Raw genomic sequence first — 14,461 nt, 5'->3', positions numbered from 1 at the left:
GGGATTGCAGCTCCACACGTGGGGATTACAGGTCCCTCCCTCAACATGTGGGGATTACAATTCGAGGTGAGATTTGGGTGGAGACACAGAACCAGAGCCAAACCATATCATCACTAATGTTGGCAGTGGCCATATGAGTCACTATGACCAAAGGGATATGAGGGAAAATTATATGAAGTATTTAAGCAACATTTCCTAGTAATTGATGTCCTCTCCTCCTGCTGCTTTAACGAGTGTGATTTCAGAAGGTGGAACCTCTGTCAGATTAGAAAATAGGCAGAGGATAAAAACAAAGTTTCATGCATACCTGCAATGGAGAAGAAACATCTCACTTTCTTTTTTGAAGTACTGATACATTTTCATTGTTTTTACTACAATATTTTCCAGACTCTGTTGACTATTATAACTGGTATTGCTATTGGGACTACTCATGGAATATTTATGCTCTCTTACTCTGTGTATAATTGTGCATTTAATCTTATGTATGACGCAGTTTTATTCTTGGTTTCTTCTTGTGACTTGACTTACGTTTTCACTTAGGACAAACTTTTACTTTTATTATCTTCATCTAAGTTCAGCAAAAGATAACTCTGTTTCCTTTCTGTCATTGTGTTTTTTATACCTTGTTTTAGTCTCTGGTATTAATTAATTTACTACCTAACTTCCACTCCGATCACTTTAGTACTCCAGTCATTATTGGTCCAGCAAATAATACCTGATCTGTATGTTTTCTGGAGTTTCATTAATTTTGCTAATAATAGATTGCTAATTTTGCTAACAATAAAACATAAATCTATTCTTTGTAGAAAAAAAAACATTTTTAAAGAGAGAATTCTTCATGTATTGGGTTCCATTATAAAAGTTGGTCAAAACTTTCTATCTTGAAATATCTTATTTTTTGGCAGAGCAAGTATCTTGAGGTAGGACACACATTAACACAAGGACATGAGAAGAACTTAATAAAAAGTAGGGAAATACACTTAATTGTATTTAAAGCCATATTATGGAGTAACTAAAAGAGTATGGAACAAATAAGTGAAATTCCAGTAATTTATGTGTTACTATATTTGCATTTACCTTTGTGTGTTTGTGTGTGTGTGAGAGAGAGAGAGAGTGAGCGAGAAGGAGTGAAAGAGAGAGAGACAGGTGTTTACATGTCTTGATTACAAAAGTAATTTTCAAGAGGTGTTGTATATCATGGTTTGTATCAAAAGCCAAAGCTTTTTGATCTATCATTTCCAACCTCATGAAGAGATATTTGTTAAACTATTGATTCTTTAAAAGTTAAAAATATAATTTTTCAGCCTACATTGAATATAGAAGATGTCATGTGTCACAGTTGTGGGCATTAAGGCACAAATCAATTTTTTTTTTTTTGAGATGGAGTCTCGCTCTGTTGCCCAGGCTGGAGTGCAGTGGCACGATCTCGGCTCACTACAACCTCTGCCTCCCGGGTTCAAGCGGTTCTCCTGCCTCAGCCTCCCAAGTAGCTGGGACTACAGGCGTGTGCCACCACGCCCGGCTAATTTTTTGTATTTTTAGTAGAGACGGGGTTTCACCATGTTAGCCAGGATGGTCTCAATCTCCTGACCTCGTGATCCGCCTGCCTTGGCCTCCCAAAGTGCTGGGATTATAGGCGTGAGCCACCGTACCCGGCCAGCACAAATCAATTTCTTTTCTTCTTGTCTCCTTTACACAATGTTGATCAGGTATCTGAAGCTCAGAAGTCCAAGAGAAGTCAGAAAATGACAATGCAAAGTAAATAGCTAGCCCGTAATAATGGCAAAAAAGAAACTGTGCGTGTGTGTGTGTGTATGTGTTTGTGTTTATGCATACTCACTTTTTTTCTCTCAGAACTGTCGGGATGCTACTTTCCAACGATCTGTATGATGAGAGCTCTACCTACATAAATAGAATACAGTTGACATTAAGCAAAATTATAAAAATAAATACATTTCTCAAACAGTCACTTATCAATATACATCTTTAATTCTACTTGCCATAATCTCAGTGTTCTATTTTAAAACAATTGTTATTAAGTGCTTTGTTTGAAAGAAGTCTAAAATGTGGTAGTACAGGTTGAGTATCCCTTATCTGACATGCTTGGGACAAGAAGTGTTTTAGAGTTTTGGATTTTTGGGATTTTGGAATTTTTGTGTATACATAATGATACATCTTATAGAATACTACTCAAGTTTAAACACAAAATTCATTTATGTTTCATATACACTTTGTACATATAGTCTGCAGGTAATATTAGATACTTTTTTTTTTTTTTTGAGACAAAGTTTTGCTCCTGTTGCCCAGGCTGGAGTGCAGTGGCACGATCTCGGCTCATTGCAACCTCAGCTTCCCGGGTTGAAGCGATTCTCTTGCCTCAGCCTCCCGAGTAGTGGGATTACAGGCATGTGCCACCATGTCCAGCTAATTTTGTATTTTTAGTAGAGACAGGGTTTCTCCATGTTGGTCAGGCTGGTCTCAAACTCTTGATCTCAGGTCATCCGCCCACCTTGGCCTCCCAAAGTGCTGGAATTACAGGCGTGATAGATAATATTTTTAATAACTTTGTTTATAAAACAAAATTTTGACTACAACTCATCACATTAGGTCAAATATGGAACTTTCCTCCTGTGGAGTCATGTCAACACTTATAAAGTTTTGAATTTTGGATTATGTTTGATTTCAGATATTTGGATTAGGAATCCTCAACCATTATGATATGATTACTTCTAATTCATTATTAAACATTTTAATTCTGCAACTTTTATTTCATCAAATATTTGCATATTTGTATATAAAGTCATACAGAGAATGGTTGTTTCTGTAAAATACACTGATAGTTGTCTTCTCTCTACAAGCTGAAAAATCTTTTACGAATATGAGATTTATTTAAACAACTTGACAAGAAAATGAGTTAATTAAAAGTCGTAAAAGGCTGGGTGAGGTGGCTTACCCCTGTAATCCCAGCACTTTGGGAGACTAAGGCGGGCGATCACTTGAGGTCAGGAGTTCGAGACCAACCAGGCAAACACGGCGAAACCCTGTCTCTACTAAAAATACAAAAATAAACCAGGCATGTTGGTGCATGCCTGTAATCCCAGCTACTTGGAAAGCTGAGGCATAAGAATCACTTGAACCTGGGAGGCGGAGGTTGCAGTGAGCCAAGATCGCACCACTGCACTCCAACCTGCTGACAAAGTGATAGTCCAACTCAAAAATAAAAAAATAAATAAAGGTCACAACATAAAATTATACTTGAGAAAAGCAAAAAAAAATGCATATGTGGGTGTACATGTATGTTCATCTGTGTCCCTACCTGGAGTATGACAACAGATAAAATTATCAAATAAGTGTCTTCATACAGCAGAGTGCCTAGGCATTATTTGAAAAAATGTGAAAAGTTTTTTCCCTCCACATGACACATGACATTAAAAATAAAATGAATATTATTGTATTATCTAAGTAGGTCTTTACTTGAAGTGTAGCACTTTTAAAGCAAATCAACAAATTAGTTTTGCATGAATGATTGTTATTTGCAAGATGATGTTACCTATAGGTATTCCAACTATAGATATGGTTAATTGTTATGGAATAACTATGAGTATTAAATATTGTATCTGAGAAATACCAGAAATATTTTTGGAAGACAGGAGACTTGACTATTTGATATTCTACTACCTGTAATATTTTCGATAGCCAAAACAACAGGCTCTAAGACTAACTAAATGGGAAATAAATTTAGAAACATACTGTCTTACAAAAATTTAGAGAAGTTTGAGCACTAAAAAGACTACCATGTGATGTTATTTGAGTGAATAATTGGAAGGCAGGTAGATAAGCGACTGGCATACAGGAAATATTCAAAAATATATTGACTATGTAGCAAATTAGAGTTACTTCAGAACAAAGAACACCTGATTACATCTTTTATTAGAGTATGTAAGTCTCTTAATGAAACTGACCCAATAGTCTCATAGACCATTTTTTTTTGATAAATATAGAAATTGAGAATCTGTTCTTAAGCTTGGAACTTAAATTTGTTTTATCTGAGTTCCTTCCTCAGCAAAGGATCCCCAGGTCTCTCAAAAAGCATCAAAGAACTGAAATTCACCAGATCATAGTGTACACACAATGAGATGACAGGCCCCGTATTCATTATGATTAATTCCTTACCCCTCCTGAATTCCTGTTCTCCTATATATTGTTACATTTTCTTTTCTGCTCTAAGCCCCTAATTTAATCAGTTAAAGAGATGGATTTAAGACTGATCTCCCATCTCCTCAGCTGCAGCACCAAATAAAGCCTTCTTGTTTGGCAATACTCATTGTGTCAGTGATTGGCTTTCTGTGTGGAGAGCAGCAGGACCCAGACTAACCCCCTGGTGTTTAGGTAACACTACCACCATGATGGCTAATTTGGCTTATTTTGGTGTTTTTTTCTTTTGGATACAGATCAACTTAGACAACCAAATAGTATACTGTTAACTTTAAAGTTATAAATTTCCATTCCCTATTTTCTTTTTAGTGACAGAGTCTCACTGTGTTGCCCAAGCTGGAGCAGAACGGCTATTCACAAGCCTGATCATAGTGCACTGTAGTCTCAAACTCCAGGACTCAAGCAATACTCCTACCTCAGTCTTCCAAGTAGTGAGGACTAAAGCATTGTGCCACCACAACCAGTTGTTTTCATATTCAACATATATCAGTCTAGATCTTTTAATCAATACATATTAGTTTCCATTAGAGTTGCAAATAACAAACAGAAATATACGCATGACTATAAATTATATATATGTATATATACACATATATTTACATACATACATATGTGTATGTCTAGTGTTATATACATGTATATATTTGTCTATTCATTCAATTATCTATAAGTTAAAAACTAAGACTAGGTAAGTCCTTTAAGTTAGTTGTAAAAATTATAACATACATCTACTTTGCAATCACTTAATAACTGTTTATATGTGATATGTAATATTCCAAATTAATTTAATCACATAGTCTTATATAAATATTTTGGATAAAATTTTATACAATGTGTTGAAAATAAATTAAGATCTCTGGGCCTTACCTGGCTCCTTATTTATAAATTTGGTTTGATATTCTTATGTACCTTGTGATATTCTTAGAGAATAAGACTCATTTATCCCTCTGTGAAATGGACTTGTCCCTATTTTCCACTCATCTGAATGGTTTTTGCAGAAGCTTCCTGCTGGTCTAGGGGATGCTTCACAAAATATTTTCGAAAGGGTATTGAGAAAGAGAAGTCTTTCTTTGTCTGTTCCCAAAACATAAAGCTTTGAGTCTACCAGTGGAGACATTTTCTATACTGCATACCTGATAAATGTGTAAAACTAGAATGAATAAAATAAGTAGAAATAGAGGAGGGCAGGAGGATGAGAGCAAATACAGGAATAGGAAAAAGCAGGGTACAGATAGAGAGAAAGAGAGAGAGATAGAGAGAGTACTTTTTAGCTGCTGTCTGTATGTTCTTCAGTCATTTCTGACCACAGCATTCAAAGTATCAGATGAAGACCTTTATATAAATTCTTCTAAATTCTTTTTTTTAATATACTTTAAGTTCTCGGATACATGTGCAGAATGTGCAGGTTTGTTACACAGGTATACATGTGCCAGGGTGGTTTGCTGCACCCATCAACCCGTCATCTACATTAGGTATTTCTCCTGATGTTATCCCTCTCCTAGCCCCTCACCCTGCAACAGGCCCCAGTGTGGGATGTTCCCCTCGCTGGGTCCATGTGTTCTCATTGTTCAGCTCCCACTTATGAGTGAGAAAAGCAGTGTTTGGTTTTCTGTTCCTGTATTAGTTTGCTGAAAATGATGGTTTCCAGCCTCATCTATGTCCCTGCAAAGGACATGAACTCATCCTTGTTTATGGCTACATAGTATTCCATGGTGTATATGTGCCACATTTTCTTTATCCAGTCTATCACCAATGGGCATTTGGGTTGGTTCCAAGTCTCTGCTATTATGAAAAATGCTGCAATAAACATACGTGTACATGTGTCTTTATAGTAGAACGATTTATAATCTTTGGGTATACACCCAGTAATGGGATTGCTGGGTCAAATGATATTTCTGGTTCTAGATCCTTGAGGAATCGCCACACTGTCTTTCACAATGGTTGAACTAATTTTCACTCCCACCAACAGTGTAAAGTGTTCCTATTTCTCCACATCCTCTCCAGGATCTGTTGTTTCCTGACTTTTTAATGATTGCCATTCTAACTGGTGTGAGATGGCATCTCATTGTGGTTTTGTTTGCATTTCTCTAATGACCAAGGATGATGAGCTTTTTTTTTATGTTTTTTGGCCACATAAATGTCTTCTTTTGAGAACTCTCTGTTCATATCCTTTTCCCACTTTTTGATGGAGTTGTTTATTTTTTTCTTGTAAATTTGTTTAAGTTCCTTGTAGATATTAACCCTTTGTCAGACGGATAGATTGCAAAAATTTTCTCCCATCCTGTAGGTTGCCTGTTCACTCTGATGATAGTTTCTTTTGCTGTGCAGAAACTCTTTCATTTAATTAGATCCCATTTGTCAATTTTGGCTTTTGTTGCCATTGTTTTTGTGTTTTAGTCATGAAGTCTTTGCCCATGTCTATGTCCTGAATGGTATTGCCTAGGTTTTCGTCTCGGGTTTTTATGGTTTTAGGTCTTATGTTTAAGTCTTTAATCTATCGTTAGTTAATTTTTGTACAAGGTGTAAGGAAGGGGTCCAGGTTCAGTTTTCCCAATACCATTTATTAAGTAGCGAATCCTTTCCCCATTGCTTGTTTATGTCATATTTGTCAAAGATCAGAGGGTTGTAGATATGTGATGTTATTTCTGGGGCCTCTGTTCTGTTCCATTGGTCTACATATCTGTTTCAGTACCATTGCCATGCTGTTTTGGTTACAGTAGCCTGTAGTATAGTTTGAAGTCAGGTAGCGTGATGCCTCCAGCTTTGTTCTTTTGGCTTAGAATTGACTAGGCAATATGGGCTTTTTTTGGTTCCATGTGAAATTTAAAGTAGTTTTTTCTAATTCTGTGAAGAAAATCAATGGTAGCTTGATGAAGATAGCATTGAATCTATAAATTACTTTGGGCAGTATGGCCATTTTCACAATATTGATTCTTCCTATCCATGAGCATGGAATGTTTTTCCATTTGTTTGTGTCCTCTCTTATTTCCTTGAGCAGTGGTTTGTAGTTCTCCTTGAAAAGGTCCTTCATATCCCTTGTAAGTTGTATTCCTAGGTATTTTATTCTCTTTGTAGCAATTGTGAATGGGAGTTCACTCATGATTTGGCTCTCTGTTTGTCTGTTATTGGTGTATATGAATGGTTGTGATTTTTGCACATTGATTTTGTATCCTGAGACTTTGCTGAAGTTGCTTATCAGCTTAAGGAGAATTTGGGCTGAGATGATGGGGTTTTCTAAATATACAATAATGTCATCTGCAAACAGAGACAATTTGACTTCTTTTCTTCCTATTTGAATACCATTTATTTCTTTCTCTTGCCTGATTGCCCTGGCCAGAACTTCCAGTACTATGTTGAATAGGAGTGGTGAGAGAGGGCATCCTTGTCTTGTGCCAGTTTTTAAAGGGAATGCTTCCAGCTTTAGCCTATTCAGTATGATATTGGTGGTGGGGTTTATCATAAATAGCTCATATTATTTTGAGATACACTCCATCAATACCTAGTTTATTGACAGTTTTTAGCATGAAGGAGTGTTGAATTTTTTCTAAGGTCTTTTCTTCATCTATTGAGATAATCATGTGGTTTCTGTCATTAGCTCTGTTTATGTGATAGATTACATTTATTGATTTGCATATGTTGAACCAGGCTTGCATCCCAGGGATGAAGCCGACTTGATCGTGGTGGACTCAGCTTTTTGATGTGCTGCTGGATTTGGTTTGCCAGTATTTTATTGAGGATTTTTGCATTGATGTTCATTAGGGGTATTGTCCTGAAATTTTCTTTTTTTGTTGTGTCTCTGCCAGATTTTGGTATCAGGATGACGCTGGCCTTAAAATTAGTTAGGGAGGAGTCTCTCTTTTTCTATTGTTTGTAATAGTTTCAGAAGGAATGGTACTAGCTCCTCTTTGTACCTCTGGTAAAATTCGCCTGTGAATCAATCTGGTCCTGGGATTTTTTTGGTTGGTAGGCTGTTAAATACTACCTCAATTTCAGAACTTGTTATTGGTCTATTCAGGGATTTGACTTCTTCCTGGTTTAGTCTTGGGAGGGTGTATGTGTCCAGGAATTTATCCATTTCTTCTAGATTATCTAGCTTATTTACATGGAGGTGTTTATAGTATTCTCTGATGGTAGTTTGTATTTCTGTGGGATCAATGGTGACATCCCTTTTATCATTTTTTATTGTGTCTATATGATTCTTCTCTCTTTTCTTCTTTATTAGTCTGGCTAGCGGTCTATCTATTTTGTCAATCTTTTCAAAAAAAACAGCTCCTGGATTCACTAATTTTTAAAGCGTTTTTGTGTGTTGTCTCTATCTCCTTCAGTTCTGCTCTGATGTTAGTTATTTCTTGTCTTCTGCTAGCTTTTGAATTTGTTTGCTGATGCTTCTGTAGTTCTTTTAATTGTGATGTTAGGGTGTCAATTTTAGATCTTTCCCACTTTCTTCTGTGGGTATTTGGTGCTATAAATTTCCCTCTAAACACTGTTTTTGCTGTGTCCCAGAGATTATGGTATGTTTTGTCTTTGTTCTCATTGGTTTCAAAGAACTTATTTATTTCTGCCTTAATTTCATTATTTACCCAGTTGTCATTCAGGAGCAGGTTGTTCATTTTCTATGTAGTTGTGAGGTTTTGAGTGAGTTTCTTAATTCTGAGTTCTAGTTTGATTGCACTGTGGTCTGAGACTGTTTCTTATGATTTCCGTTCTTTTGCATTTGCTAAGGAGCATTTTACTTCCAGTTGTCTGGTCAATTTTAGAATAAATGCGATGTGGTGTTGAGAAGAAGGTATATTCTGTTGATTTGGGGTGGAGAGTTCTTTAGATGTCTATTAGGTCTGCTTGGTCCAGAGCTAAGTTCATGTCCTGAATATCCTTGTTAATTTTCTGTTCCATTGATCTGTCTAATATTGACAGTGGGATGTTAAAGTCTCCCACAAATATTGTGCGGGAGTCTAAGTCTCTTTGTTGGTCTCTAAGAACTTGATTTATGGCTAGCCAGTTTTCCCAACACCATTTATTAAATAGGGAATATTTCCCCATTGTTTATTTGAATCTGAGTGATCCTGTATTGGGTGCATATATATTTAGGAGTTAGCTCTTTTTTTTGCATTAATCCCTTTACCAGTATGTAATGCCCTTCTTTGTCTTTTATGATCTTTGTTTAAAGTTTGTTTTATCAGAGACTAAGATTTCCACCCTTGCTTTTTTTTGCTTTCCATTTGCTTGGTAAATATTCCTCCATCCCTTTATTTTGAGCCTATGTGTGTCTTTCCACGTGATTTGTGTCTCTTGAATACAGCACATTGATGGGTCTTTTCTTTTTTTCACTCCCACTATCTAACCAGTCGCAATGAGATGAGCCAGATACTTTGGTTGGAAATGCAGAAATCGCCATCCTTCTGCGTTGATCTCGCTGGATCCGCAGACCGGAACTCTTCCTATTTGGCCATCTTGCCAGCCACCAAATTTCTCTAAATTCTTACACTACTTTAGGCTGATATGTCTGTAATGTGCAATAAAAAATACCCTTACTTATTCAGAGTTATTTTACAGATCAAATGATTTAAAGCACATAAAAGCACCTCATAAACTATAAAGCTCTGTACAAATATATTGTGTTATTATCATAATGACATAATACTTTCCTCATGTTGACTCAGTACTTATGAGTGCCTTTTTCACCTTTATTCAGAGATCTTTAGTCACTAATATGATTCACTAAGTAGTGGAGAGAGACAATTAAATTACTTTCAGAACATTTCAGATCCAAGGAAAAAGTGCGGCTATGAATGAATTTGAAGCTGGAGAATTTCATTGTAGGACCACTGTATAAGTAAGCTTAAGATTTAAAAATTATGTATCATCTCATATTATGAAAATGAACACTCTTGATGCCTATGCAAAAACTAAAATTGTTTTACATAAATTATCACATATTAATTTAAGAATATCATGCTAAGAAGAAGGAACATTTTGAACCCAGTAACAGACAGCAAAGATCCTTTTGTAGGCATGGGAAATAAAGTAGCATTGTAGAGGATTTTGGAAGGCTATCTTATTTAACAAAGGTTTTACAAGCCACAGTACTTGATGTATTTTTGTTCATTATTTTTCTGTCACTTTAGCAGGCACAAAAAACAACATATTTATATTCAAATAAAGTAACTACAACATTCTTTACTCTTTATTCCCCTTATTATGCTAACGGATATGCCATGTCTTAACAATTCTATGCTTCCCTGGTACTTCTCTTTTATGTTCAGTTTCTGATCCTCCTTTAAAAAACTTCACACTGCTCTTATTTTCCTATAAACTCTAACTCATCAAATCAAAAACAATAAAAATCACAGATCTATTCCCTCCCCAGGAAGATTTCAGCCCATCTTAAAAGAAAATTAGGCCATATACTTTTGCAAAATGTGATTTCTATTTTAATTCTTCGTATTTTATTCTAGGGAATACCTCAGTGTAATATAGTTGTTGCTTCTAGTTCACTGCATACTGACTTTTCATTCTCTCAATATTACCTATTTAAAGTAATTAATCAACTTTTATTTAAAGATATCCTAAATTTATGCTATTTTAATATGTTGTTTTACAAAAACAACTCTTTCTGTAAATACTTTTAAACAAAGCTGTGGGTGGTTGTTCATTGAATCAAATCCTCCACTTTTTAAATTCATATTTCATGTATTTTGGTATTTGTCCCTCCAAATCTCATGTTGAAATGTAATCCCCAATGTTAGAGGTGGGGCTGGGTAGGAGGTGATTGGATCATGGGGATGGATTTCTCATGAATGATTTAGCACTATCGCCTTGGTGCTATCCCCAGGATAGCAAGTGAGTTTGCATGAGATCTAGTTGTTTAAAAGTGTGTTGCACCTGCCCCCAACCCACTTGCTCTCACTCAAGCCCTGTGATGTGCCTGCTCCTAATTCACCTTCAGCCATCAATAAAAACTCCCCCAGGGCTCCTCAGAAGCCAAGCACATGCCAGCACCATGCTTTCTGTACAGCCTGCAGAACTGTGAGCCAATTAAACCTCTTTTCTTTATATGTTACTCAGTCTCAAGTATGCCTTTATAGCCATGCGAGAATGTCCTAATGCAATATTGTAGTTACAGGTAGTTAGACAGGCATGAGCGAGGCAGGAGAGGCCTCTCCCTTCCTCCACCCACCACGAATGTCAGGTGACCATCAGGTGATGGTTCTGCGGTTATCACACTGCTTCACTAAAAATAATTTGGCAGCCAGTGCCAGGGAGAGGCCATTTTCTAATGGTCCACACATGTCACACTAAAGTGTTAATTGATTATAGGCACCAGGTAGGGGCAACTTTCCAAACAGATAAAAATACTTGAGATTAGTAATGAATCTGCTTCCAATAAAATTTCAGGAATTGGGCGAGTGAGCCCAGGCATGCAGATTAAGAGACAAAATGACGGAGTATGGTCTTCTGGAGGCATTCCACCAGAAAAGGGAAGAAAACCTCACATGGCCATGTGTACAACTTCCTAAACGCACTGTGCGTGCTCACCTCCCAAGTGTAAGGAGAGCACTGTGCATGTGGGTGGCTTGCCCTTAGGGAAAAATGAAGGGAAAGGGGAGCAAGCCACTGGAGGTGAGCAAGCATGTATAGTTCTAGAATCAAGGTTAAACGCCACACTTGTCCATCAAGTTGCCCACTTGGGTCTCTTCCAAGTGTAGTTTCTTTTTTTTTTTTCTGTTCTAAAGTTTTTTAATAAACTTCTACTCCTGCTCTGAAACTTGCCTTGGTCTCTTTTTCTGTCTTATTCCCTTCAATTGAATTATTTTTTCTGAGGAGGCATGAATTGAGGTTTCTGCAGACCCCTACAGATTCACCGTCAGTAACTTGGAGACCTACCCCTAACAATATGACTATAATATACTTTAGTGGATGTGAAAGGAACCTAGTTGAAAAGTGGAGAAAAATCAGATTTACTAATGACTTATTCAAAAGGGCAATAGATCTAGTAGTGCATAAAGCAACTATATCCTGTGATTCCCCAGATGCAGACAAAATTATTGCTATTTTTTCTTAAAAAAAGGATTGAGTTGAATTTCACTTCCTGCTAAAAAATGAATTGGTAAAGCCTTCTATTCCTAACATTTATTAAGTGCTTATTATACGATAATTGCTGATATATTCTAGATGCTGTTTTATATGTATCATGAAGGTCATCTTAATTAGAAATGTCATGTAAATCGAAAGTATTATAAGAATTATAGTCATTACTATAAGAATCATGATTTTTCAGGGAACTTTTTCTTTTGATTCCAATATGCAAATTATCCTCTGTCAATAGAAAAAAAAACTTATTTTATCTTCAATATAGCTTAGCTCTTGATTACTCAAACTTTTTTTAAATCTTTTTCATTATCAGTGCATTACCTATTTCATGTTCTTCCAAATTACCCATTATAATGATTTCTTATTTCATCCTGAATTATAAATTTGAACATTTTAGTGTATCTTACTGGAATTATTTCACTTTCATGAGAACTTTTAAATTATACAATATAATTTAACTTCTATACCTATGCATATTAATCATAAAATTCATAAAGTAGAAATTCAAAGATAAAAAACAAAATTCAAAATAATAAAGAAAATAAAACACAGTTACATGTATGTTTCATCTTTAGAAGTAAGTATTAACAGACCTTTTGAGGACATAAGAATTTATAATCAATCCAGACATTTGGCATTAATAGAGTAGAATAGATCTGCCAATACATCCATATATCTTCTGATCTTTGATTTCACTAGCAGTTTCAATTGTTAACTTGAAAAGGGAATTAAAAGCTCTTTATACATGCCTATTAGCATTTGCAGTGGCTAATTATGCATTTATAATCATGAATAGATAAAATAAAATATTATTTATTAAGAACTCATTGATTTTATACTAGTGCTCATTTTGACCACATTCAAAAATGTTTCTCTAATGACCATTTGAACCCCACACTTCCAAAACATATGCTTGTTTATGAGCTATATTTTACTCTTCCCACCATCAGTTAGCTAACAAAAATGACCAAAGAAATTAAGTATAGAAGATATTTAGGTCCTTTGAATTTTTGAAATTATAAAATCCCCATGACAAAATTCAATATGCAATTTTAACTGTATCCATTGCAAATGAGACTAGATTAAAGCAAGTACAAATAGACCAGTTTAATCACTTCCTTTTGAAAACATGGCACAAGCTTCCTGAAAATGTTAAAATAAGCTTTGGGAAGAGAGTAAATATCACACCAAATAAATATGGGCTGTTGGCAAAGCTTAATAGTTATTGAGACTACATCCACTTTAGGCGATGTGTGCACAATGGCCAATAAACAGGCGTTAACATGAGCAAGACCAAAGGCCTCTAAACATATAAGGTTTTTCTCTCACCCTATTTCAAAATATACAGACAGCTGGGACTGTATTTGTCCTGATTTTTCATCAATGTGTATCATGCAGCCTACCATGTAAAAGCATTTTTTGTTGATGTTTTTGTCAAAACACTGCAAAATGATGGGAACTGTCCTCAACACAGTGGATAGAAGCTTTGCAACATTGACCAAAGCTACACCACTGATGCAGCATTTTCTATAGGCAATGGTTTCCACAAACACAGGGTTGACTGGGGGAACATGTTCATGTAGATTCTCACACTCAGGTTTCTCCTGGCAAGAGGTCACTCCAGCTGTTCTCCAGATGACAGAGCCTGTGGACTTCAGACCGTAGTACCCAACTTTTCACAGGGGTTTGACAGCAACCTCACAGTTAACTTTCGCTACTTGTTTTCAAATCACCTCTAGTTAGTTCATAGAGTAAGTCTTGCATATGACTATAAATTTAAATGACTCAAACTCTGGATTCGGTAAAAGCTTACAAGGCAGCCTTTTAGCCAATGTGTATAAAAAGGAGGCCTTTATTATCAAGATAAATTATTATATTTGGAAGTTAGAATGAGGGACCAGCTTTAATAATATTCTTGTAAAATACAAGGAGAAAGAATTTTAAAAATTTTGGCTTTATGAACTGAATAAAAAACACAATGACAAGATGAAAAGACTTAAGAACAAGAATTTGAAATAGAAAAACATTAATCAAGCTTTTCAAAGGGAATACTAAACATTAAACATGAAAAGGAAAACTTACATTGTAATAAAATTATATTAGAAATGGTCTGAAGAAAAGCAATGCGAAACCAACTTGAAGAAAAAAAATAATC

General features: G+C 35.6%; 1 long non-coding RNA gene across 2 annotated transcripts in view, besides 1 other annotated feature; it reads right to left on the bottom strand.

Annotated features, from left to right (window-relative positions):
• Positions 1–1,840: 1,840 nt before the first annotated feature.
• The window catches only part of LOC105370301 (uncharacterized), a 66,794-nt gene continuing 54,173 nt past the window's right edge, over positions 1,841–14,461 (bottom strand). For both annotated transcript variants that reach the window (XR_931624.1, XR_931623.2), the window contains exon 3: positions 1,841–1,902. This is a non-coding gene — a long non-coding RNA (uncharacterized LOC105370301). The remainder of the gene's footprint in view (positions 1,903–14,461) is intronic.
• Positions 9,167–10,366: an enhancer, noted in NCBI's record as "P300/CBP strongly-dependent group 1 enhancer chr13:87694909-87696108 (GRCh37/hg19 assembly coordinates)". NCBI's record gives its function as "activates an origin of replication core promoter dependent on BRD2, BRD4, P300/CBP, MED14 and CDK7 cofactors, with strong dependence on P300/CBP, by STARR-seq in HCT116 cells {active_cell/tissue: HCT116}" and the evidence as "EXISTENCE:reporter gene assay evidence [ECO:0000049][PMID:35650434]".

The sequence above is a fragment of the Homo sapiens genome, chromosome 13, assembly GCF_000001405.40.
Source record: "Homo sapiens chromosome 13, GRCh38.p14 Primary Assembly".
In the NCBI taxonomy this organism is placed as follows: Eukaryota; Metazoa; Chordata; class Mammalia; order Primates; family Hominidae; genus Homo; species Homo sapiens.
This window is presented reverse-complemented; position numbering and strand designations above follow the sequence as displayed.